At 36.2% G+C, this 26,933-nt stretch overlaps 2 pseudogenes across 2 annotated transcripts in view; both read left to right on the top strand.

The window, feature by feature from the left end:
- Positions 1-26,933, top strand: part of TPTE2P5 (TPTE2 pseudogene 5) — a 124,766-nt pseudogene that overhangs the window by 56,427 nt on the left and 41,406 nt on the right. Inside the window, exons 2-4 of one of the 2 annotated variants that reach the window (NR_038258.1) lie at positions 9,509-9,569; positions 10,390-10,471; positions 10,575-10,663. The product of NR_038258.1 is annotated as a TPTE2 pseudogene 5, transcript variant 1 (transcript). The remainder of the gene's footprint in view (positions 1-9,508; positions 9,570-10,389; positions 10,472-10,574; positions 10,664-26,933) is intronic. The other variant, NR_038259.1, reaches the window with a different exon arrangement.
- CYCSP34 (CYCS pseudogene 34) lies at positions 1,350-2,030 on the top strand (annotated as a pseudogene).

The raw sequence follows: 26,933 nt of genomic DNA, 5'->3' as shown, positions 1-26,933 counted from the left end.
CTGGCCATCAGAGAAATGCAAATCAAAACCACAATGAGATACCATCTCACACCAGTTAGAATGGCGATCATTAAAAAGTCAGGAAACAACAGGTGCTGGAGAGGATGTGGAGAAATAGGAACACTTTTACACTGTTGGTGGGACTGTAAACTAGTTCAGTCATTGTGGAAGTCAGTGTGGCGATTCCTCAGGGATCTAGAACTAGAAATACCATTTGACCCAGCCATCCCATTACTGGGTATATACCCAAAGGACTATAAATCATGCTGCTATAAAGACACATGCACACGTATGTTTACTGCGGCATTATTCACAATAGCAAAGACTTGGAACCAACCGAAATGTCCAACAATGATAGACTGGATTAAGAAAATGTGGCACATATACACCATGGAATATTATGCAGCCATAAAAAATGATGAGTTCATGTCCTTCATAGGGACATGGATGAAATTGGAAATCATCATTCTCAGTAAACTCTTGCAAGAACAAAAAACCAAACACCGCATATTCTCACTCATAGGTGGGAGTTGAACAATGAGAACACATGGACACAGGAAGGGGAACATCACACTCTGGGGACTGTTGTGGGGTGGGGGTAGTGGGGAGGGATAGCACTGGGAGATACACCTAATGCTAGATGACGAGTTAATGGGTGCAGCGCACCAGCATGGCACATGTATACATATGTAACTAACCTGCACATTGTGCACATGTACCCTCAAACTTAAAGTATAATAAAAAAAAAGAAAAGTCATACTTAAAAAAAAAAAAAGAACTGCTTCTATTGGGTGAAAACAGTGATTTTTCTGAGATTCTAAGGCATTACAGTTTTTCCTGCCACTGAGCAGTTTAATACTAGATAATTGCATTTTGGTATGCAATCATTGGCCTAAATATAGTATAACTATAGGGAAAAAAAGCCCCTTTATCTTTGCTATTATTTACTTATTTATTTATTTATTGTAGAATATTTGGAGTTTTTTTTATCTTATTGGATGTGGCTCTCATCCTTGCTAACCTAATTTTCACTGATAGCAAAGTTTATATTCCTTTGGATTATCATTCTATTTTTTCTAGCTATTGCCTTATTTTTTCTCATGAATGGTCTTCTTCGAGTATTTGTAGAAGGGTAAGTTTGATTATTTTCATAATGCATAAAGCTATTTTGTACTTTTATAAGAAGCACTTTGTGAGACTGAGGCAGGAGGATCAGGAGGTCAGGAGTTCAAGACCACTGCACCCAGCCTAAATCATTGTCTTATAAAGATACATGCATGCATGCATAGACATGGAATCAATCTAAATGCCATCAATGATAGATTGGATAATGAAAATGTGGTACATAGAGAGAATGGGACATCTGGCTTCCGAGCAGAAACCTTTGTAGTGCCAGCGATGAAAGAGATAATTAAATACGGGTGATGTTGAGAAAGGCAAGAAGATTTTTGTTCAGAAGTGTGCCCAGTGCCACACCGTGGAAAGGGAGGCAAGCACAAGACTGGGCCTAATCTCCATGGTCTCTTCAGGCAGGAGACAGGTCAGGCCATTGGATTCTCTTACACAGATGCCAATAAGAACAAAGGCATCACCTGGGGGGAGGATACACTGATGGAGTATGTGGAGAATCCCAAGAAGTACATCCCTGGAACAAAAATGATCTTTGCCGGCATTAAGAAGGCAGAAAGGCAGACTTGATAGCTTATCTCAAAAAAGCTATTAGTGGGTAACAATTTTCCACTGCCTTATTTATTAAAAAACAGAAATGTCTCCTGACTTTTTTGTGTGTACCATAATTTAATAGATCTCATACACCAGACTTCAGATCATGAATGACTGAGAGCATATTTTGTTGGACAGTCCTGATTTAAAACTAAGACTGGCTTGTGATTAAATGAATAAGTTTGGTAGTTTGGTTTTTGAATTTTAATAAGTAATTTTAATTCAGTAAATGCTATCACTGTTTACCCCTTCTAAAGATATGATTAGACTTTGTTAATAATGTTCAACTTTTCACAAAGATGGTGAGTGCCATCTTAAAACTTATTGGAGAGTGGTTTTATATTTAGATTTATATAACTGGTTATGTGAATATATTTAAATACTGGGGAAATTCCTTCACTGTCTCAAAACCATGCAAGATTCACATATATTTTGTGTTTATTTGCTTCTTAAAGGCCAGGGTTGAAGATAAGGTAGCAATGTTTACTTTATATTTTTGGCCTTAACTATGCCAATCTAATTAGAATTCCCTGTATTTAAAATGGTTCCTTTTACTTATTGAATGGTATTTTAGTGTGGTTTATGTGTAATATCAAATAAAGATTATTTAACACTTAAAAAAATAAAAAAATAAAATGTGGTACATAAACACCATGGAAAACTATGCAGCCATAAAAAGGAACGAGATTACATCCTTTGCAGGGACATGGATGGAGCTGGAAGCTGTCATCCTCAGCAAACTAACACAGGAACAGAAAACCAAACACTGCATGTTCTCACTTGTATGTGGGAGTTGACGATGAGAACACATGGCCACATGGTGGGGAACAACACACACTGGGGCCTGTTGGGAGGGCAGGGGTGGGGGAAGGAGAGCATCAGGAAGAATAGCTAATGGATGCTGGGGTTAATACCTAGGGATGGGATGATCTGTGCAGCAAACCACCATGGCACACATTTCCCTATGTAACAAACCTGCACATCCTGCACATGAACCCCTGAATCTAAAAGTTGAAGTAAAAAGATATATGAAATTATCTGTATGTATGTATGCCTAGATGTAAGTATACATATGTATATGCATGCATATCATCACATTTTTATTGAGGTATAACACATATGGTTAAGTTGCACTAATCAAGTGTATATCTTGATGATATTATACATAAGTATATATGCATGTAACCAAGACCTCTATATTGGTCTATGACTGATCTCCAATTAATTGTTGTAAAGATATAAAGCATCAAGGTTCATGTTTTTCATATAGCTATCAATCCCCCCTCTACCATTTATTGTAAAGAGCATAATTTCTCCCAGTGAATGGCAGAGGTATGTTTAGTGCAAATCAAGTGAACATATATGTATAGGTCTGTTTCTGGGCTTTTTGTCCTTTCATTATGACGTGTCTATACTTAAGTCCAGACCACAGTTTTAATTATTATGGCTTTATAGTGAGTCTTGAAAACTTGGGTATAAGTCCTCCAACTTTGTACTTCCTTGTTTAAAAACTATCTTGGCTCTCCTAGATTTTTTGAATTTCCGTATAAATTTTAGAATCATCTTGGCAATTTACATACACACCCAAACTCACACACACACACACACACACACACACACACAGACAGTATTTTGACCTAGGGATTGACTATGTAACTTAATTTGGAGACAATTGACATATAAAAATATTGAGATTTCCAACTCATGAACATAATATATCTCTCTACTTATGTCGTGTTTGATTTCTTTTAGCAATGTTTGCAGTGTACAGGTTTTACACCTTTTGTTAGTTTTATTTCTAAGTATTTGATAAGTTTTTATGCTATTTTAAATGATATTTGAAAATCTTCATTTTCTAATTATTTGCTATTGGTATATAGGAACATAACTAATTTTTGTATATTGACTTTTGTTTATTTGTCTTAAGACAGGGCATTGCTCTGTCACCACAGGCTGGAGTGCAGTGGCACCTGGGCTCAAGCAATTCTCCCACCTCTGTCTCCCATGTAGCTGGGACTACAAGCAGGCATCACTACACTTGGCTAATTTTTTAAATTAATTTTTGTAGAGAAGGAGTCTCACTGGTCTCACTGGCCCAGGCTGGTCTTGAACTCCTGGGTTCAAGCAATCCTCCCACCTCAGCTTCCCAAAGTGCTGGGATTACAGGTGTGAGCCACTACACCCAGCCTTGTATATTGTCTTTATATCTAGCATCCTTCATAAGTTCACACATTCATTTTAATAATTAATGTGTAGATTTCCTGATGTATACAATCATATAAAGTTACTACTTTCTTCCCACTTTTTATGCGTTTTTTCTTTATTTATTATCTAGGACTTTCACTGTAATATTGAATAGAAATGGTAAGAGGAGGCAGCCTTGCCTTGTTCCCAAACTCAAGAAGAGTTTTATGCTTCACTATTTGAAACGATGTTTGCTATAGGGTTTTGTAATCATTCTTTAGCAGATTAAGACAGTCCATTTTATTTCTAGTTTGCTAAAAGTTTTGAATCAGGAATTGGTGTTGAATATATCAGATATTTTTTCTGCATCTGTCAAGGTAATCAAAATGTTTTTCTGTTATTCCATTAATGAGATTTTCAAAGTTAAACCAACATTTTTTTATTTTTGAATAAACTCCCTTTGGTCTTAATGTATTATCTTTTTTATCTATCACTAGATTCTATTTGCTAATATTTTGTTTAGAACTTTTCATCTATGTTCATGAGTGATATAAAATTTTGTTTCTTTGAAATGTCTTTATCAGTTGGTCTACAATTACCTTAGTTTAGGTGTCTTGGGTAACTCCTATCTGCTCAACTTATCTTCATCCTCCCTCAGGATGAATATGATGGATATGTTTCAAGGTAATGGCAAAAGGAAAGGGCTAGACTGGAATCTTACAAGTGCTTTTGCAAGCCTCTCCTTTGTGGCATTCCAGTGACCAAATCAACTCACATAACGGAATACAAAGTTAGAGTGAAAGGGCGCTACAAGGTGAAATGTGAGGGCATGGATTCAGGAAAAGATGAAGAATTGAGACCATTGATGGAATCATTCTACCTTATTCTCAGGCAGGGGAGCATTTTTATACATGCAGATAGTTTACAAGAAATAACTGTTACGTAGTCAGAGACTCAAGACTTCAGCAATTGTATAAAAATGTATTTGTAAATACCCAAAGACCTTGAAGAGAAGGGTCTGACCCACATCTCACCCAGGTTATGGTGTTTATGGCTAAGACATGATTCTACCACTCCCTTAGCCAATTTTGAAAATTGTTTCAAACTATTCATTTGAGGTGGAATTAATTTTTCTCTCCCCTAATGGGAGTAGTCATGGAGTAATGTGACCAGGGCCCACTGGATGGGCCATGCCACTTGAGGGCAGCCATCCCAAAATTTCCAGATTCCATCCTTATGGGTAAAACATCTCTTGATTGCTAACATTGTTTTTTAAAGCAGGTTAAGCTAATAACTGTGAGTTAATTATAGCATGTCTAAATTGAGCTAGTTTTTATAGGAACATAACTCATTTTTGTATATTGACTTTTGTTTATTTGTTTGTCTTAAGACAGGGCATTGCTCTGCCACCACAGGCTGGAGGGCAGTGGCACCTGGGTTCAGGCAATTCTCCCATCTCAGTCTCCCGCATAGCTGGGTCTGCAACCAGGCGTCACTACACTTGGCTAATTTTTTTAATTAATTTTTTTAGAGAAGGAGTCTCACTGGTCTCACTGGCCCAGGCTGGTCTTGAACTCCTGGGTTCAAGCAATCCTCCCACCTCCCAATTTGGCAACACTTAATATTAGCTGGGGTGTTTTTAAAAAACCAAAAAACTTCACTTAGCATGTAAATCAACACAAAGACATTACTATTTCCTTCTGGGATGATCACTAGACTGTTGGTTTCTATCAGTTATTAAACTGTTATCTCCTTGGGGCATTGACAAAGTACTAATAAGTCATTGATTCCTTTACCATTTTTAATCAGAGTATCCAAAAAGGAGGTAATAAATAATGTGTTTTAATAAATTCCACAAATTATGAGTCACCCAAAAAGCAAATCTACTGTCCATATTAATATTTAATCTTTCATCTTTGCCAGAGTGCAGCCCCAAAGCTAAGCTGCTAGTTCAGCTACCTGGGGAGGCCAGGAATCAGGCCATGGAGCACTTCAGTGATGGCATGTTCAATGATAACAGCATATCCTGCACTGGGAATGTCTTTGTCATATTTGAGAACCATCTACAAAGTATATTAAATCAAGGTTGACTAAAAGGCAGAAGATTCAAATCCAGGTATACTTAATTCCTGAGAGGATGCTAAACAGTCATATGATTCCCCTTTATTCTTAAAAGGGAATAAAGTTGCAGGGTTACATTTTGAACAACATTGAATATGCAAAGCAGACATTACAATTTCATAAGTGGTAAATTTACTGGAGGAGAAATGTCAGATGCTGCCTTGAAGTAGCAAAAACTTTATAGAGATGCAGGGACCCATAGAGTTAGTGGAGAAACAAGCACTATTATGGAAGCATCAACAAGTTTGGCCACTGCTACCACCTCATGCAAGTAGAGAAGGTTTACCTTTGCCTCCAAATCAAGGAATGTACTAAGATAGGCAGAGAGAAGAGTTTGGCAGATTTAGGAAAACCCGAAGGTGGAGGTCGTTGCAAGAAGTCTTTCAAAGAGTAGACAGCATTTTCTACTTTTGCATCACAAGGAAGAGTTTCAGGAATTATAAACTTTGTAAGCCCATGCAAAGGCTGAGCTATTGAGAAAAATCAGATATACAATTACCTACAGTCCTAAAATCTTCTTAGCCATCTTTTAATTTCTGTTCTTGGTAGATGGAATGCTCCTTATTCTGGTTGAAAACAGAAACTGTCCATCTGGTGACAGATGGTGACCAGAAAAATGTAGATTCTTGGCAGAGTTGAACTTTTTCCTAGATTCTTTATGTCCCTTTTCACCTAATTTGGATAAGAGAGATTTGGAGTCTTCAGTAAACTACTTAGATCAGAAAACACAGCAGTAAATCATTTAAATATTGAGTCTCTCTCTATATATATATGATTATAGAAATTATATATATGTGTATATATATATAATTTTTAGACACTGAGAGAACTAGGAAGGGGATTCAGAAAAATCCCTAAAGCTTAACGCTCCAGATATACTTGTTTTCCCATGAAAAAGCAAATATTGACTGTTTTTCTATATATGTATACTAAGGAAGGCTGCATGTAAATTACCACCGTGAGATATTTACTTGTTGAGAGAATGAAGGACAGGGCCGGGTGCGATGGCTCACGCCTGTAATCCCAGCACTTTGGGAGGTCAAGGCAGGTGGATCACCTGAGGTCAGGAGTTCGAAACCAGCCTGGCCAACATGGTGAAACCCCATCTCTACTAAAAATACAAAAAATTAGCCAGGCGTGGTGGCTCATGCCTGTAACTCCAGCTACTTGGGAGGCTGAGGCAGAGGAATTTTTTGAACCTGGGAGGCGGAGGTTGCAGTGAGCTGAGATCGCGTCATTGCACTCTAACCTGGGCAACAAGAGTGAAACTCTGTCTCAAAAAAATAAAAATAAAATAAAAATATGAAGGGTAGGCTGGGCGCAGTGGCTCACGCCTATAATCCCAGCACTTTGGGAGGCCGAGGCGGGCAGATCACGAGGTCAGGAGATCGAGACCATTCTGGCTAACACGGTGAAACCTTGTCTCTACTAAAAATACAAAAAAATTAGCTGGGCATGGTGGTGGGCGCCTGTAGTCCCAGCTACTCGGTAGGCTGATGCGGGAGAATGGCGTGAACCTGGGAGGCGGAGCTTGCAGTGAGCCGAGATCCTGCCACTGCGCTCCAGCCTGGGCGACAGAGGGAGACTCCGTCTCAAAAAAAAAAAAAAAAAAAAAAAATATATATATATATATATATATAGATAGATAGATAGATAGATACACACACATATATATATATATACACACACATATATATATACACACACACATATATATATAAAGGCCAGGACAGTATTCTAATGGTTGCATGATATTTCATTAGTGCTGTGATTAACCTCTAATGTTGGACATTATGTGTCACTATTATCAATAATACAGCAACAAACATCTTTGAGCAAAAGGCTTTTTCTGTATAGATTGCTAGGAGTGAAATTACCTAAAGAGTATGAATATTTTTGAGGTTCTTTATATATATTGCCAAATCCAAGAGCAATTGTATTATTGTATCAATAATAAATCAAAGTTTTTAATTTCTCACCTTATTTGGCCAGCATTGGATTTTCTCGTTAAAAGAGAAAGGGCTAATTTCATGGGTGCAAATGGCATGCCATTTGCTGTTTTAACTTCTTTATTGGCGACACTGAATATTTATCTATGTAGGTTGTTAATCAGTTAGATTTTCTCTTTTATGGATTGTTTATGTCCTTGGCCCATTTATCTATAAGGTGAGGGAGTAATATTTAAGTTATTGTTAGTGAATTACTAATTTATTATACTAGGCATAGTCCCCATTCAAGTTTCCTCAAAAATCTTTTCCTCTGTTATTCATTATAGCATTTTAAAACAGAAATTTCAGATTTTTATGAAGTCAGACCTAAGCCCATTGATCTTCCATTGATTCCACACTTTTAGTTCTTCCTTATCCAAATAATTGACTAAAATTTGCTTAAATTTCTCATAGATATTTGCAGTTTTTATATGTGATTTCTAAACCCATATGGATTTTATGTAAGAAATTCCATGAATTCTGAAGTATATAAAACTTCTTATCCTTGCGCCCCCACTATGCAGATTCAGTGTTCATTTTTGACTTATTATTTCCTCCTAACAGAGATAACCAGTTTAATAAATGGATGACTTTGATACCTTAAGTTTATTTTTCTCAATATTAAGCCAGTAAACATTGCTCTGAAGGTACCATACTAATCAGTTTTAAAATTTTGTGTCATTTTTGTTGTTGCACAGAGATATATATATGTGTGTGTGTGTGTATGTCTCAGAAAGATATATTTCCTGAAAGTTGGATCCATATAGTGGTATTAACTGTATTTTAAATGATAACTACTATTTGTTTTTTATTTTAAAGGTTATACATATATATGCATATATATATATGTGTATACACATTCATAGGTACACATATATCTTCATTTAAAAAATAAGAGAACAGTTGAGCCTCTTATTGTTTGACACCTGTTTGACAACAGTTGAGCCTCTTATTGTCAAAAGTCTCCATATTGTTACCAGTTATTTAAAATTTCATATAATATGTTTATCTTTTTCTATCATGCATACACACAATCATACTATATACTTTTTGCATTTATTTGTTTACATGGTGCTTAGGTAGACTGTAATATGCAGATCACTATCTAAAGACATATCTAGTCAGAATTAAATTTAAATAAGAACTAATATGAATTAGATTTAAATAAAAACCACATTAACTGTGAATTAATGATTTGGAACAAATTTACTTAAAGTTAGTTAACCAGCTAATTTACTTATCTGATAGCTTTAAACAGTGTGTATTTACAATAGGGACTAATCTGAGTAGCCAAATACACTTTGTGGACTATTTGAAAAACCGCAGTAGATTAGCACTTGAAATTGGCATACCCTTGTATTCCCTGAATTGCCCCTAGAAGATGCCAGTGAGAAACAAATTGATAGAAAATAATGACTATTTTAGGTTCTCCCTAGGAAATAGCTTATGTTGGTGCCATGTGGATATGTAAGGTATGTGTTTGTCTTTTTTAGGAAGTCGTGCAGTTTCTAGACAAGAAGCATCCAAACCACTATCAAGTCTACAATCTATGCAGTATGTACATTACTCTGTATTTTGCTACTGTAGATAGAAAACAGATTACTGCATGTAAGAAGGTGATTTTGTTTTTTATATTGCATTTAATCATAAGTGTGTAGTGGTGGTGAGGAATGAATTTAAAACCCCATCTTGGACTGGCCCCATTTGGTAGAAGGAGTTAACCCAGCAGCACAAAGTACCCTATGAAGGAGGCAGCTCTGGCAGGACCAATGATGCTAGAGTGGAGGCAAACCATTTTAGGGAAGATCTGTTCTAGTGATATTAGGTTTAGGAAAATCTTTCTGTTTTTCCTGCCAGATTGGGTTATGAGGACATAGATAATTTAACAAATGAGTCCTCTGATCCATCAGCAGTGGGTTGTGATGAGAGCAGGGCCCTAGATGGGAAAAAAAGCAAAAAACTCTGTAGAAAATAGGTTGTAACCCAGCTTACCACTGTCTGTCTTGATTTTTTTCCTCTACCTGTATACTCAATAGACATTTTCAGGGGGGCAATCATTTTGGTCAGCTACATTTGCCTCTTGTGTGGGTTCTAACTACCCTGCAATAATATAATGAATAGTCTGCTAGAAAGTTAAAAATTATACCTATTAAACAAAAATAAGTTGAGTTTAGGTTACATGAGATGGATAAACCACTACTATCCTTACGTTTTTGAGACCCTTACCTTTATTTTAGAGCAGCAGGAGCAACTTGGAAAGCTCTCTTTGAAGATGGATAAGGAATTTCTAATAAGATATGTTAACTTATTCATAACTTCATTATTTACTGTGTTATTACCTGTAGAGATATAACATACATATTATTTATTTTAGGTGAAAGAGCTTATGATCCTAAGCACTTCCATATTAGGGTCAGTAGAATCATGATTGATGATCATTATGTCCCCACTCTACAGTAAGTTTTATGCTAAGTTGACTATCAGAAGAGGGCTAAATATATTGGGCTTGGTTTTCTGAAAATATTTTAATTTAACTAAAAATATTAAACTTGAAATCAGTAAGATGGTGGTATTCTCCAAGGAAGTAAATGAGTGGATGACTCAAGATCCTGAAAACATCATAGTGATTCACTGTAAAGGAGGCAAAGGTAATAACATTTTCCTTTTTATTTCTCCCTTTCTAAAGACATGTAAATATGGATAAAGTACAAGAACAAGATACATATTGCTATTAATAAGTATTAATAATTGTTAGCATTTTAAAATATTAGCTCCAAGACTAGAAGAAGGGAAGGAGAAAGGAAAGAGGAGAGGAGGAAGGGTAGGAGATAGGGAGAGGATAAGGAAGGGAAGAAAGTAGGAAAAAAGAACTAAGGAAGGTTGAGCATATTTTTCCTTGTTTTTCTACTATTTGGATTTCTTTATTCTTGTTTTGCCAGTTTATATCTCTCAAAATAGTCTTTAATTTTAGAATGTCAGAGTACTTTTATTTTATTTAAGGCTACTCTTTTTTATTTTTAAATTAACAAATAAAAAATCAATATATTTATGGTGTACAACATGATGTTTTGATATATGTAAACATTGTGAAATGGCTAAATCAAGCTAATTAACATATGCACTACTCCACATACTTTTTTGTGGTGAGAACATTTAAAATCTACTCTCTCAGCAATTTTCAAGTATACATTATTATTAACTATGGTCACTATGTTGTACAGTAAATTTCCTGAACTTACTCTTCCTGTCTAACTGAAATTTTGTATCCTTTAACCAACATCTCAGGCCGGGCATGGTGGCTTACACCCATAATCCCAGCACTTTGAAAGGCCGAGGTAGGTGGATCACCTGAGGTCAGGAGTTTGAGACCAGCCTGGCCAACATGGTGAAACCCCGTCTCTACTAAAAATACAAAAAATTAGCCAGGTGTGGTGGGTACCTGTAATCCCAGCTACTCAGGAGACTGAGGCAGGAGAATCGCTTGAATGCGTAAGGTGGAGGTTGTAGTGAGCTGAGATCGCGCCACTGCACTCCAGCCTAGGCAACAAGAATGAAACTCCATCTCAAAACAAATAAAATAAAATAAAAACCAACATCTCCACAATCCCCCCACTTTTGTCCCCCCAGCCCCTGGTAACTACCATTCTACTCTCTGCTTCTATGAATTTGACTTTCTTAGATTCCACAAATAAGTGAGACACAGTATTTGTCTTTCTATGCCTGGCTTATTTCACTTAGCATAACATCAGGTTCATCCATATTACCTCAAGTGACAGGATATCTAAGGCTGAGTAGTGTGTCCTTATGTATATATACCACATATTCTTTATCCATTCATCCATTGATAGCATTTAGATTGACTCCATAGCTTGGCTATTATGAATAATGCTGCAGTGAACATGGCAGTGCAAATTTCATTTCCTTTGGATATATACCCAGCAGAGGAATCTCCAAATCATATGGTAGTTTTATTTCTAGTTTTTTGAGGACCCTCCATGCTGTTTTCCATAATAACTACTAATTTACATTCACATCAACAGTGTATAAGAGGGTTCTCTTTTCTCTACATCCTCACCAACTCTTTTGTCTTTTTGTTAATGACCATCTGAACAGGTGTGAGGATATCTCTTTGTGGTTTTAATTTGCTTTTCCCTGATGATTAATGATGTTTAGCATTTTTTCTTATACCTCTTGGCCATTTGTATGTCTTCTTTTGGGGAATTTCAGGTTCTTTGCCCATTTTCTAGAGAAGTAACTTGTTCTCTTGCTATTGTGTTGTTTGAGTTCCTTTAAAAAAAATTAACCTTTTATTGAATGTATGCTTTGAAGATATTTTCTCCCATTCTGTAGGTTGTCTCTTTACTCTATATTTGTTTCCTTTGCTCTGCAAAAGCTTTTTAGTTTGATACAGTATCATTTGTCTATTTTTTATTTTGTTGCCTATGTTTGTCAGTCACATTAAAAAAAATCTTGACCCAGACCAATGTCAAGAACATTTTCCCCTATGTTTTCTTCTAGTAGTTTTCCAGTTTCAGGTTTCACAGTTAAGTGTTTACTTTGAGTTCATTTTTGTATATTGGGTGAGATAGGGTGCAATTTCATTCTTCTACAAGTGGATATCCAGTTTCCCCAGTATCACTTATTGAAGAGACTGTCCTTTCGCCATCGTGGATTCTTGGCACCTTTGTCAAAAATCAGCTGACTATAAATGCATGGATTTATTTTGGGCTTTCTATTCTGTTCCATTGGTCTATATGTCCATTTTTGTTCCAGTATTATTTAAGGTTGTTCTTAAACTTTGTGAGACTCTTTTAGATTAAGGGAGCCAACGGAGATGCTATTTCAAAAATTATACTGGAATTTTTATAGTGTGATGATACAAAGAAGTTGACATTGGTGAGGTTAAAATGGGGGGAAAAAGCCATTTGTAAATCCAACCAATTTAAGTTCAGTTAGATTTTCTCTCATTCAGGTTTGGGTTTTGAATAATCATCTAAGCATATTTCACAATTTTTGACAAACATAAAGAATTACATTTTTGGTGGGCTCTAAATCAATTTTTATATCAAATTCCAGGAAAACATAACACTGTAAACTGACTTATATAATTCAGTAAAATCAAGTTTTAGTCTTATTGACTAATTTCAAGTCTTATTGACTAGTTTCAAGCCCATTGCTTAATATACACGTTCTGTGTTTAGCTGTATATTAGTTAATATACAGGTTCTGTGTTTAGCTCTACAGGTTGGAATATTGTGTATAAACTGGCAATTTATAATACCATAGTTAAATTAAAAATATAGAGGTTGAATCATTTGAAATTGCCAGTTTTTAACCATCTTTTGCTTTAAAAATGGCCATTTCACATTGTCCAACCTAAAATGTTATTATTCAAGCAGTTCGCAGCAGTTTTCTATTAGCTAATGCTAATTCCTTTCTTGAAGGAAAACATTCCTTGCTTGAAGGAAAGCATTCATTTCAAATTTGACTTTTTACTTTTTTGCTGAGAGGGGGTTTACATTATTCTGTGTTCACATAATATTTTGTTGATTTTTTTAAAGGTTGTTTAGAGGGCTAATATTCAGCTGGTATGTACCAGAGCAGCCTCTTTTTTTAAGTGTTCATTCATATTAGTCTTGCTGTCTTCTAGTTGGTTGCTGCCTGCAGGTTACCAGTAGTATCATGATAGTAAAAATATTTTATATTGATTTATAGGAGTTCTTCAAAGAATCTCACCGCCAATTTTTCTTAGTATTATAAGTATATTCTCCCAATGTGTTGCCTTTTAAATTTGATTGTGATTTATTTTGTTGTGCAAAAGTTTGTAAATTTTTGTTTTGTTTTGAGACATGGTCTCGCTCTGTCACCCAGGCTGGAGTGCAGTGGCACAATCTCAGCTCATTGCAGCTTTAACCTTCTGGGACTCAAGTGATCCTCCCACCTCGGGCCCTCTGCGTAGGTAGGACTACATGCAAGCACCACCATGCCTGGCTAATTTTTGTATTTTTTGTAGAGACAGGGTCTTGCTGTGTTGCCCAGACTGGTCTTGAACTCCTGGACTCAAATGATCCACCCACCTCAGCTTCTCAAAGTGCTGGGATTACAGGCATGAGCCATTGTGCTCAGAGAGAAGTTTGTAATTTTGAATGTAGTAAAATGTGTTCATCTATGTATGTGTATGTATTTCATGCCTTTCTATCATGTTTAAGAAATTCACCCCTATACTGATTTAGTAAAGATATTCCACATTTCTTCAAAAATATTCAAGTTTCATTTTTAATATTTGAGTCTTTAATCTAATTGGAAGTTGGGGGAAGTTTTTTTTTCATATGGATAGCCAATTGTGCTAACACCATCAATTGCATGCTATTTGGTTCTCCATTAATTTGTAATCCCTCTCAGTCACATACCAAGTTTCTGTAAGTATTCAAAACTGTTTCTAAGTTCTCTATACCACTTTTGTAATTATTGTGGCCTTATAATATAGTTTGATAAAGGCAGAATTGTCTTGCTCTTCTTGGAACTTTATTATTACATTCAATTTTAAAATCATTTTTTCAAGTGCCATAATAAAACACATTTAGGATTTTTATTGGAACTACATTGAATTTATAGATTAACTTGAGAGAACTGACAACTTTGCAATATTGAGTTGTACATGTGAATCATCTTGTTCATTCTTTAATAATATTTTATACTTTTCTTCATCATGTGTTTGCACATCTTTTCAAAAATTCATTCCTACACAAACTGTGACTGCAAATGGAATCTCTTTTTTTCTATTACATTTGGGTTGTTTCCAATTTTTACTGTGATAAATAATGCTGATTTTTTTTTTTTTTTTGAGATAAAGTCTCACTCTGTCACACAGGCTGGAGTGCAGTGGCACGATCTCAGTTCATTGCAACCTCTGCCTCCTGGGTTCAAGCAATTCTCGTGCCTGAGCCTCCCAAGTAGCTGGGATTACAGGCGCCCACCAACACACCCAGCTAGTTTTTGTATTTTTAATAGAGATGGGGTTTCATCATGTTGGCCAGGCTGGTCTTGAACTCCTGACCTCAAGTGATCTGTCTGCCTCGGCCTCCCAAACTGCTGGGATTACAGGTATGAGCCACTGCACCCAGCCCAATAATGCTGCTTTTAAAAATACACGTTTCTTGTTGCACATGTGGCCATATTTTTGTTGAGTATGTACCTTGGACTAAAATTGTTCTGTCTTAGGGTAATGAGTCTTGAACTTTACTTGATAATGTTACCTGTTTTCTAAAACAGTTGTACCAATTTTTACTCCACTTGTACACTCCAGGCGTTCTATATCTTCCCCAATACTTGCAATTCTGAGTATTTTTATTTTTAGCCATTGGGTGTTTGTGTGATGGCATTTTATGGTGGTGATCATTTGCATTTCTATAATTACTAATAAGATTGAGGATGTTTTCTTAAGATTATTAAGTATTTGGATATCCTTTTTTGCAAAGTAACTTTTTAATTTTCTTACCCATTTTTCTCCTGGATTATTCGTCTTTTTTCTCTTGATTTGTAGGAGTTCTTTATGTATTCTGATTTCAATTTCTGTTATTGGCCATATATGTATTTCAAGAAAGCTTTTCTGCTCTATAATTTGCCTTTTTTCTCTCTTAGGAGTATCTTTTGGTTAACAGAAGTTCTTAGTTGTATTACCATCATGTGTATCATGCTTTCCCTTTATAAAGTTTGTGTTTTTGTGTCCTGATTCAGAAAATTTTCCTTGAGTTTAAAGGATATTTTACTACTATATTTTCTTCTAGAAGGTTCATTCCTGTTAAAATTGGTTTATGTGTGTGGTGTGAGGAAGGCGTCAGGTTTAATCTTTTTCCATATATGGCTATCCAATTATTCCAGCACACTAGTTGAGAATATTTTCATTTCTTTACTACCCTGCAGAACATGAATCTGTTTCTAACCTTTCTATTCTGTGCATTGATTTTTCATCTGTGTGCCAATAGCACAACTATCTTACTGTGGCTTTCTAACAAGTCCTCATTTCCAGTCATGTGAGCACAATCATCTTTTTCTTCACAGTTGTTAGGGTATTTTAGGCCATCTACATTTCCATATAAATTTGGGAATCAACTAGTCAAGTTACACACAACTGATAGAAATTTGTTTGGGATTGCGTTGAATTTATAGATTGGGGAGAATTGAATCTTCACAATATTGACTCATCCAACCCATGAACAGAAGTATTCTCTCATTTAGTTAGGTCCTCTTCAATTTCTCTTTACAATGCTTTCTCATTTTCTGTATAGAAAGCTTGCATATTTTTGGTGATATTTATTCCTAGATATTTGATATTTTGTGGTTATTTAAATTATATACTTTTAAAATGTTTATTATCTAAATGTTTTTTTGTTGTTTTAAATGCAGTTCACTTTATTTATTAATCTTGCAATTAGCAACTTTACTAAACTCACTCTTTTTTTTTGAGGCAGGGTCTCATTCTGTCACCCAGGCTGGAGTGCAGTGGCATGATCATGGCTCACTGCAGCCTCAACCTCCCTGGGCTCAGGCGATCCTCCCATATCAGCCTCTCAAGTAACTAAGACTGCAGGCAGGTGCCATCATGCCCAGCTAATTTCTTGACCTTTTTGTAGAGACGGGGTTTTGCCCTGTTGCCCAGGTTGGTCTCAAAACTCCTGGGCTCAAGTGATCTGCCAGCCTCAGCCTCCACCTCCCAAAGTGCTAGGACTACAGGCCTGAGCCACCGTGCCTACCCTAAACTCACTTATTAGTTCTATGAATTTATCAATAGATTATTTTGGATTTTATGTTACATGATTATATCATATAAAAATAACAAATTGTATTTTCTCCATTTCAGTCATTTCTCTCCTTTAGCAGTGGCTAGAACATTCAGTACAGTGTAGAATTAGAAGTGGCAATAGCAACCATCAACGTACAGTTCCATTCTCAAAGGAAAAGCTTTCCATGTCTCTCCAATTGCTTTACGAGTGTGTGTGTGTGTGTGTGTGTGTGTGTGTGTGTGTTACCTACCATTTATCAGATTAAGAAATTCCTCGGCTGGGCGCCATGGCTTAGACCTGTAATCCCAGCACTTTGGGAGGCCCAGGGGTGCAGATCACTTGAGGCTAGGAGGTCAAGATCAGCCTGGGCAACATGGTGAAACCCCGTCTCTACTAAAAATACAAAAATTTGCCGGGTGTGGTGACACATGCCTGTAATCCCAACTACTCCAGCTGAGGCACGAGAATCGCTTGAACCCAGGAGGCAGAGGTCGCAGTGAGCCAAGATTGCACTGCTGTTCTCCAGCCTGGATGACAGAGTGAGACTGTCTCAAAAAACAAAACAAAAAAAAAAAAAAAAGGAAGAAAGAAAAAAGAAAATCATTTAGTTTGCTAAGAGTTTTTTTTTTTTCAATCATGAATGTGTTGAATTTTTTCAGATTTTTCTGAATCTTTGAGATGATAATTTTTCTCCTTTATCCTATAAATAAATGTGGTTAATTACATTGATTGATTAAGTGGTAAACCAACTTATTTCTGGAACAAATGTAATTCAGTTGTACTATATTATTTTATGAAATAATTATTAAATTATTTTATTATTAAATTGCGGGATTCTGTTTGTTAATATTTAGGATTTTCAAATTCATGTCATCAGGGCAATTGGTTATAATTTTCCTTTCTCATAGTTTTTTCAAATCTTGGCTTTGTAAAATGAGTTAGATTTCATTTTCTCTTTTTTTATTCTCTGGGTGAATTTATGCATGTTGATTTTTTTTCTTCTTAAGTGTAAAGTGAAATTCACCGGTGAAGCCACATTGGCCTAGAGTTTTCTCTGGAGAGAAGTTTTTAAATTATGACTCAATTCCATATATAGAATTTTTTATAATTTTATTTCTTTTGCCCATTTTGGTAGGTTATAGTTTTCCCAGTGATTTTCCATTTAATCTAACTTTCCAAATGTCCTGACATCAAATTGTTCACCATATCATTTAAACATTTTGATGTCTACAGAGGTGTTCCCTTTTTTATTTCTTACATTGCTTACTTGGTACCTTCTCCCCTTTTTTCTTTTGATTAGTCTCACCAGGGATTTATCAATTTTACTAGTTTTTCAAAAGTAACAAATTTTGGGCCTTATTGGTGTTCTCTATTTTTTATTTCATCAATTATTATTATATTTAGTGTTTTCTTCTGTACTCCTTGGGTTAATTTGTTCTTTTCCTGACTTCTTGAGATGGGTAATTCTTAGAGTGTTGGCCGTTCTCTTTTCTATTTAGCATTTAAGGCTATAAATTTTCCTCTAAGAATTGCTTTAGCTTCATCCCATAAATTTTTATTTGTAGTGTTTTCATTTTACTTAGTTCAAACTATTTTCCAACTTTGACTATGCTTGTTTTTTTTTTTGACCCATGAGTTATGTACAAGTATACTTCCTTATTTCCAAACATATGAGAATTTTGTATTGATCTTTAAGTTTTTGATTTCTGGTTATGCTGTATTGTGGACACAGAACATATGTATTTTTTTCACTTCTTTGAAATTTGTTTAGACTTGCTTTTTGGCCCAGAATTTGGTCGATGTTTGGTCAAATTTTTTCTGTACATTTGTAAAGAACATGTATTATGCATTGTTGAGAACAGTGTTCTATGTATATCTATTTGTTAATTATTTTATTTAACTCTTCTATATTCTTACTGACTTTCATTTTGGTTTGATTGAATTTTAATAATATAATTCTTTCCTTCTCACCTTCTGTCATTACCTTGAAAGTCATGTACTCCTTTTCTATGTTTTTAGCGATTACTGTAAAGATTTCAACTTGCCTCCTTGATTTAGCTATTAATTTTTGTTTATGTTGAGCCTGCATCTAGAAATCTTCCTAAACTCTCTCATTAGACTAAGGAGTTATTCTACAGATTTACTTACTACACTGACTACACTGGTTAGGCTCTGCAGTATATTGTTAAATGGAAGCAATGAACCGAAGGCATTTTTGTTTAATTCCAGGCTTTAAAGAAAATGCTATCAATATTACATCATTAATATGATGTTCCTGGTAGGTATTTTGCTAGATTTTCTTTGTTGAGTTAAGGAAGTTTCCTAGTTTTTGTTAATTTTTAAAGTCACAGGTGTAGGCTGAATTTTAGTGAATGCTTTTTCCTGCATTAATTGAGATAATTGTAAGGTATGTCTTCTTTAATCTATGAATATGATAAATTATATTAGTATAGATTTCTGATATAGGATGATTCTCATATTCTTTATTTACTTGTTTTTTTAATGGGCAGAAGACATCTTTTTCTTTTTGAGCTTAGTTTTTTTGGTATAATTTAACTTTTATTTTAGACTTGGAAGTACATATGCAGGTTTATTACCTGGATATATTGTGTGATGCTGAGGTTTGGGGTATGATTGATTGCATCACCCAGGTACTGAGCTTAGGACCCAATAGTTGGTTTTTCAGCCTGTGCCCTTTTCTGCTGTGCCCCCTCTAGAATTCCCCAGTGTCCATTATTGCCACCTTGATGTCCATGAGCACCTATTGTTTAGCTTTCACTTATGAGTGAGAACAAATGGTATTTGGTTTTTTGTTCCTGCATTAATTTGCTTAGGATAATGACTTCCAGCTGCATACATGATGCTGCATAGGGCATAATTTTGTTTTTGTTTTTTTTTTGAGACAGAGTTTCACTCTTGTTGCCCAGGCTGGAGTGCAATGGTGTGATCTTGGCTCACTGCAACCTCTGCCTCCCAAGTTCAAGAGATTCTCCTGCCTAAGCCTCCCGAGTAGCTGTGATTACAGGCACCTGCCACCACATCCGGCTAATTTTTGTATTTTTAGTAGGGACGGGGTTTTGCCATGTTGGCCAGACTGGTTTCAAACTCCTGACCTCAGGTGATCCACCCGCCTCGGCCTCCCAAAGTGCTGGGATTACAGGTGTGAGCCACTGCGCCCGGGCATGATTTTATTTTATTTTTTATGAATATGTAGTATTCCATGGTGTATATGTACCACTGCGCCCAGGCATGATTTTATTTTATTTTTTATGAAAATGTAGTATTCCATGGTGTATATGTACCACTGCACCCAGCCATGATTTTATTTTTTTTATGAATGTGTAGTATTCCATGGTGTATATGTATCACATTTTATTTATCCAGTCCACCATTGATGGGCACCTAGGTTGATTCTATGTCTTTCCTATTGTCAGTGTTGCTGAGAAGCGCATATCAGTGCATGTCTTTTTGGTAGCATTTATTTTCCTTTGGATGTATGCCCAGTAATGGGATTGCAATGTCAAATGGTAGTTCTATGTTCTCATATGTTTGTTGGCCACTCATATGTCTTCTTTTGAGAGGTGTATGTTTATATCTTTTGCCCATTTTTAATGGGGCTTTTTGGTTTTTGCCTAAATAATTGTTTGAGTTTCTTACAGATTCTGAATATAAAACCTTTGTCAGATGCATAGTGTGCAAATATTTTCTGCCATTCTATAGGTTGTCTGTTTACTCTGTTGATAGTTTCTTTGCTGTGCAGAAGCTCTATAGTTTAATTAGCTTCCACTTGTCAGTTTTTGTTGCAATTGCTTTTGAAAACTTAGTCATAAATTCTTCTCCAAGGCCAATATCCAGAATGTTGTTTTCTAGGTTTTCTCCTGGTATTCTTATAATTTGAGGTCTTACAATTAAGTCTTTAATCTATCTTGAGTTAATTTTTGTATATGGTGAAAGGCATAGGTACAGATCATTCTTTTGCATATGGCTAGCCCACTATCCTAGCTAGCCATTCTTTTGCATATGGCTAGCCCACTATCCATTTATTAAATAGGAAGTCATTTCCCTATTGCTTATTTTTGTTGACTTTGTCAAAGATCAGATGGCTTTCTGTGTTTGGCTTTATTTCTGTGTTTGGCTTTATTTCTGAGTTCTTCTTCTGTTCCTTTGGTCTATTTGTCTTTTTTTTTTCCCCCAGTATGACACTATTTTGGTTACTGTGGCCTTATGGTATAGTTTGAAGTTGGGTAATGTGATGCTTTTAGCTTTGTTCTTTTTGTTTAGGATTGCTTTGGCTATTCAGGCTCTTTTTTGGTTCCACATGAATTTTGGAATAGTTTTTTCTAGTTCTGTAAAAAAAATGATATTAGTAGCTTGACTGGAAAAATGTTGATCCTATAGATTGCTTCAGTAGCATGGCCATTTTAATGATATTGATTCTTCCAGTCCATTAGCATGGAATGTTTTTCCATTTGTTTGTGTCATCTATGATTTCTTTCAGCAGTGTTTTGTAGTTCTCCTTGTAGAGATCTTTCACCTCCTTGGTTAGCTGTATAACTAGGTATTGTATTTTTTGTGGCTGTTGTAAAGGGGATTATGTTCTTGATTTGGCTGTCAGCTTGGACATTATTGGTGTATAGAAATGCTACTGATTTTTGTACATTGATTTTGTATCCTAAAACTTTACTGAAGTCATTTATCAGTTCCAAGTGCCTTTTGGTGGAGTTCTTTGGATTGTGTAGATATAGAATCATACAGTTGATGAAGAGAGATAGTCTGACTTTTTCTTTTCCTATTTGGATGCCTTTTTTTTCTTTCTTTTGCCTGATTGCTCTGGCAAAAGACTTTAACTACTATGTTAAATAGGAGTGGTGGGACTAGGCATTCTTGTCTTCTTCCAGTTCACATAGAGAAGCTTCCAGCTTTTGCCTGTTATGATGTTGGCTGTGGGTTTGCCATAGATGTCTCTATTTTTGTTTTCTTCTTCTTGAGATGGAGTCTCGCTCTATCACCCAGGCTGGAGTGCAGTGGCATGATCTCGGCTTACTACAACCTCCGCCTCCCAGGTTCAAACGATTCTGCTGCCTCAGCCTCCTGAGTGTCTGGGATTACAGCCGTGTGCAACCATGCCTGGCTAATTTTTGTATTTTTAGTAGAGATGGGGTTTCACTATGTTGGCCACGCTGGTCTTGAACTTCTGATCTCAAGTGATCCGCCCGCCTTGGCCTCCCAAAGTGCGGGAATTACAGACGAGCCACCGCCCCCAGCCGATGACTCTATTTTGAAGTATGTTCCTTTGATTCCTAGTTTCTTGAGTGTTTTTTTTATCAAGAAGGATGTTGAATTTTATCAAAAGCTTTTTTTTTTTTTGCATCTATTGAGATGATCATATGATTTCTGTTTAATTCTGTTTGTGTGGTGAATCACATTTATTGATTTGCGTATGCTGAATCTTGTATCCTTGGAATGAAGCTTACTGGATCATGGCGAGTTAACTTTTTAATGTGCTGTTGGATTTGGTTTCCTAGTATTTTGTTCAAGATTTTTGTAGCTATCTTCATCATTGAGATTAGCCTTTAGTTTTCTTTTTCTTTTTATTTTTTTAATTGTGTCTTTGCCAGGTTTTGGTTTCAGGGTAATGCTGGCTTCATAGAATGAATTAGGGATGAGTCCCTCCTCAATTTTTTGGAACAGTTTCAATAGAACTGGTACCAGTTCTTCTTTTTTATATTTGATAGAATTCAGCTGTGAATACATCTGATCTAGGGCTTTTTTGGTTTATAAGTTTATTTTATTTTTTTTTTTTTGAGATGGAGTCTTGTTCTGTCACCCAGGCTGGAGTGCAGTGGCAGAATCTCCGCTCACTGCAACCTCTGCCTCCCAGGTTCAAGCGATTCTCCTGCCACAGCCTCCTGAGTAGCTAGAATTACAGGTACCGTTCACCATGCCCGGCTAATTTTTGTATTTTTAGTAGAGACAGGGTTTCACCATATTGGCCAGGCTGGTCTTGAACTACTGACCTTGTGATCTGCCCGCCTTGGCCTCCCAAAGTGCTGGGATTACAGGCATGGGCCATTGCGCCCTGCTGGTTCATAGGTTTTTTAAATTATGGACTCAATTTTGGAGCTTGGTATTGGTCAGGTCAGGGTTTCAGTTTCTTTTTGATCCAATCTTGGGAGATTCTATGTTTCCAAGAATTTATTAATTTCCTCTACATTATCCAGTGTGTGTGCACAGAGGTGTTCATAATAGTCTCTGAGGACATTTTGTATTTCTGTGAGATTGGTTGTAATGTCACCTTGTCATTTCTGATTATGCTTATTTGGATCTTCTTTCTTTATCTTTGTTAATCTAGCTAGCAGTCTATCAATTTTGTTTATCTTTTCAAAGAACCAACTTTTTGTTTCTTTGACTCTTTGTTTTGATTTAGGGGTCTCAATTTTACTCAGTTTTGCTCTGATTTTATTTTTTTTCTTCTGCTAGGTTTGGGGTTCTTGTTTTTCTAATTTCTCTAGGTGTGATGTTATATCATTAATTCAAGATTTTACTAGCTTATTGTGGTACACATTTAGCACTATAAACTTTCCTGTCCACACACTGCTTTTGCTGCATCTCAGAGATTTTGGTATGTTGTGTTTCTGTTTTCATTTTTTTCAAAGAATTTTTTTTATTATACTTTAAGTTCTAGGGTACATGTGCACAATGTGTAGGTTTGTTACATAGGTATACATGTGCCGTGTTGGTTTGCTGCACCCATTAAATCATCATTTACATTAGGTATTTCTCCTAATGCTATCCCTCCCCCATCCCCCCACCTCAAAACAGGCCCCAGTGTGTGATGTTCCATGCCCTGTGTCCAAGTGTTCTCATTGTTCAGTTCCCACCTATGAGTGAGAACATGCGGTGTTTGGTTTTCTGTCCTTGCGATAGTTTGCTGAGAATTATGGTTTCCAGCTTCATCCATGTCCCTACAAAGGACATTAACTCATCCTTTTTTATGGCTGCATAGTATTCCATGGTGTATATGTGCCACATTTTCTTAATCCAATCTATCATTGATGGACATTTGGGTTGGTTCCAAGTCTTTGCTATTGTGAATAGTGTTGCAATAAACATACACGTGCATGTGTCTTTATAGCAGCATGATTTATAATCCTTTGGGTATATACCCAGTAATGGGATTGCTGGGTCAAATGGTATTTTTAGTTCTAGATCCTTGAGGAACTGCCACACTGTCTTCCACAATGGTTGAACTAGTTTACAGTCCCACCAACAGTGTAAAAGCATTCCTGTTTCTCCACATCCTCTCCAGCACCTGTTTCCTGACTTTTTAGTGATCACCATTCTAACAGTGAGATGGTATCTCATTGTGATTTTGATTTGCATTTCTCTGATGATGAGCAATGATCAGCACTTTTTCATGTGCCTGTTGGCTGCATAAATGTCTTCTTTTGAAAAGTGTCTGTTCATATCCTTTGCCCGCTTTTTGAAGGGGTTGTTTGATTTTTTCTTGTAAATTTGTTTAAGTTCGTTGTGATTCTGGATATTAGCCCTTTGTCAGATGGGTAGATTGCAAAAATTTTCTCCCATTCTGTAAGTTGCCTGTTCACTCTGATGGTAATTTCTTTTGCTGTGCAGAAGCTCTTTAGTTTAATTAAATCCCATTTGTCTATTTTGGCTTTTGTTGCCATTTCTTTTGGTGTTTTAGTCATGAATACCTTGCCCATGCCTATGTCCTGAATGGTATTGGCTAGCTTTTCTTCTAGGGTTTTTATGGTTTTAGGTCTGACATTTAAGTCTTTAATCCATTTTGAATTTTTGTATAAGATGTAAGGAAGGGATCCAGTTTCAGCTTTCTACATATGGCTAGCCAGTTTTCCCAGCACCATTTATTAAATAGGGAATCCTTTCCCCATTTCTTGTTTTTCTCAGGTTTGTCAAAGATCAGATGGTTGTAGATGTATGGTGTTATTTCTGAGTCCTCTGTTCTGTACCATTGGTCTATATCTCTGTTTTGGTACCAGTACCATGCTGTTTGGTTACTGTAGCCTTGTAGTTTAGTTTGAAGTCAGGTAGCATGATGCCTCCAGCTTTGTTCTTTTGGCTTAGGACTGTCTTGGCAATGCAGGCTCTTTTTTGGTTCCATATGAACTTTAAAGTAGTTTTTTTCCAATTCTGTGAAGAAAATCATTGGTAGCTTGATGGGGATGGCATTGAATCTATAAATTACCTTGGGCAGTAAGGCCATTTTCACAATATTGATTCTTCCTATCTATAAGCATGGAATGTTTTTCCATTTGTTTATGTCCTCCTTTATTTCATTGAGCAGTGGTTTGTAGTTCTCCTTGAAGAGGTCCTTTACATCCCTTGTAAGTTGGATTCCTAGGTATTTTATTCTCTTTGAAGCAATTGTGAATGGGAGTTCACTCATGATTTGGCTCTCTGTTTGTCTGTTGTTGGTGTATAGGAATGCTTGTGATTTTTGCACATTGATTTTGTATCCTGAGACTTTGCTGAAGTTGCCTATCAGCTTAAGGAGATTTTGGGCTGAGACAATGGGGTTTCCTAAATATATAATCATGTCATTTGCAAACAGGAACAGTTTGACTTCCTCTTTTCCTAATTGAATACGCTTTATTTCTTCCTCTTTACTGATTGCCCTGGCCAGAACTTCCAACACTATGTTGAATAGGAGTGGTGAGAGAGGGCATCCCTGTCTTGTGCCAGTTTTCAAAGGGAATGCTTCCAGTTTTTGCCCATTCAGTATGATACTGGCTGCGGGTTTGTCATAAATAGCTCTTATTATTTTGAGATACGTCCCATCAATACCTAGTTTATTGAGAGTTTTTAGCATGAAGTGTTGTTGAATTTTGTCAAAGGCCTTTTCTGCATCTATTGAGATAATCGTGTGGTTTTGTCTTTTGTTCTGTTTATGTGATGGATTACGTTTATTGATTTGTGTATGTTGAATCAGCCTTGCAGCCCAGGGATGAAGCCAACTTGATCTTGGTGGGTAAGCTTTCTGATGTACTGCTGGATTCGGTTTGCCAGCATTTTATTGAGGATTTTTGCATTGATGTTCATCAGGGATATTGGTCTAAAATTGTCTTTTTTTGTTGCGTCTCTGCCAGGCTTTGGTATCAGAATGATGCTGGCCTCATAAAATGAGTTAGGAAGGATTCCCTGTTTTTCTGTTGATTGGAATAGTTTCAGAAGGAATGGTACCAGCTCTTCTTTGTACCTCTAGAGAATTCGGCTGTGAATCCATCTGGTCCTGGACTTTTTTTGGTTGGTATCCTATTAATTATTGCCTCAATTTCAGAGCCTGTTATTGGTCTATTCAGGGATTTTATGTCTTCCTGGTTTAGTCTTGGGAGGGTGTATGTGTCCAGGAATTTATCCATTTCTTCTAGATTTTCTAGTTTATTTGCATAGAGGTGTTTATAATATTCTATGATGGTAGTTTGTATTTCTGTGGGATCGGTGGTGATATCCCCTTTATCCTTTTTTATTGCATCTATGTGATTCTCCTCTCTTTTCTTCTTTATTAGTCTTGCTAGTGGTCTATCAATTTTGTTGCTCTTTTCAAAAAACCAGCTCCTGGATTCATTGATTTTTTGAAGGGTTTTTTGTGTCTCTATCTCCCTCAGTTTTGCTCTGATCTTAGTTATTTCTTGCCTTCTGCTAGCTTTTGAATTTGTTTGCTCTTGCTTCTCTAGTTCTTTTAATTGTGATGTTAGGGTGTCGATTTTAGATCTTTCCTGCTTTCTCTTGTGGGCATTTAGTGCTATAAATTTCCCTCTACATACTGCTTTAAATGTGTCCCAGAGATTCTGGTACATTGTGTCTTTGTTCTCATTGGTTTCAAAGAACATCTGTATTTCTGCCTTCATTTCATTATGTGCCCGGTAGTCATTCAGGAGCAGGTTGTTCAGTGTCCATGTAGTTGTGCGGTTTTGAGTGAGTTTCTTAATCCTGAGTTCTAATTTGATTGCACTGTGGTCTGAGAGACAGTTTGTTGTGATTTCTGTTCTTTTACATTTGCTGAGGAGTGCTTTACTTCCAACTATGTGGTCAATTTTGGAATAAGTGCAATGTGGTGCTGAGAAGAATGTATATTCTGTTGATTTGGGGTGGA

The sequence above is a fragment of the Homo sapiens genome, chromosome 13 (assembly GCF_000001405.40).
Source record: "Homo sapiens chromosome 13, GRCh38.p14 Primary Assembly".
Classification (NCBI taxonomy): Eukaryota; Metazoa; Chordata; class Mammalia; order Primates; family Hominidae; genus Homo; species Homo sapiens.
The sequence above is the reverse complement of the archived record's forward strand: the minus strand, read 5'-3'. Positions and strand labels throughout refer to the sequence as shown.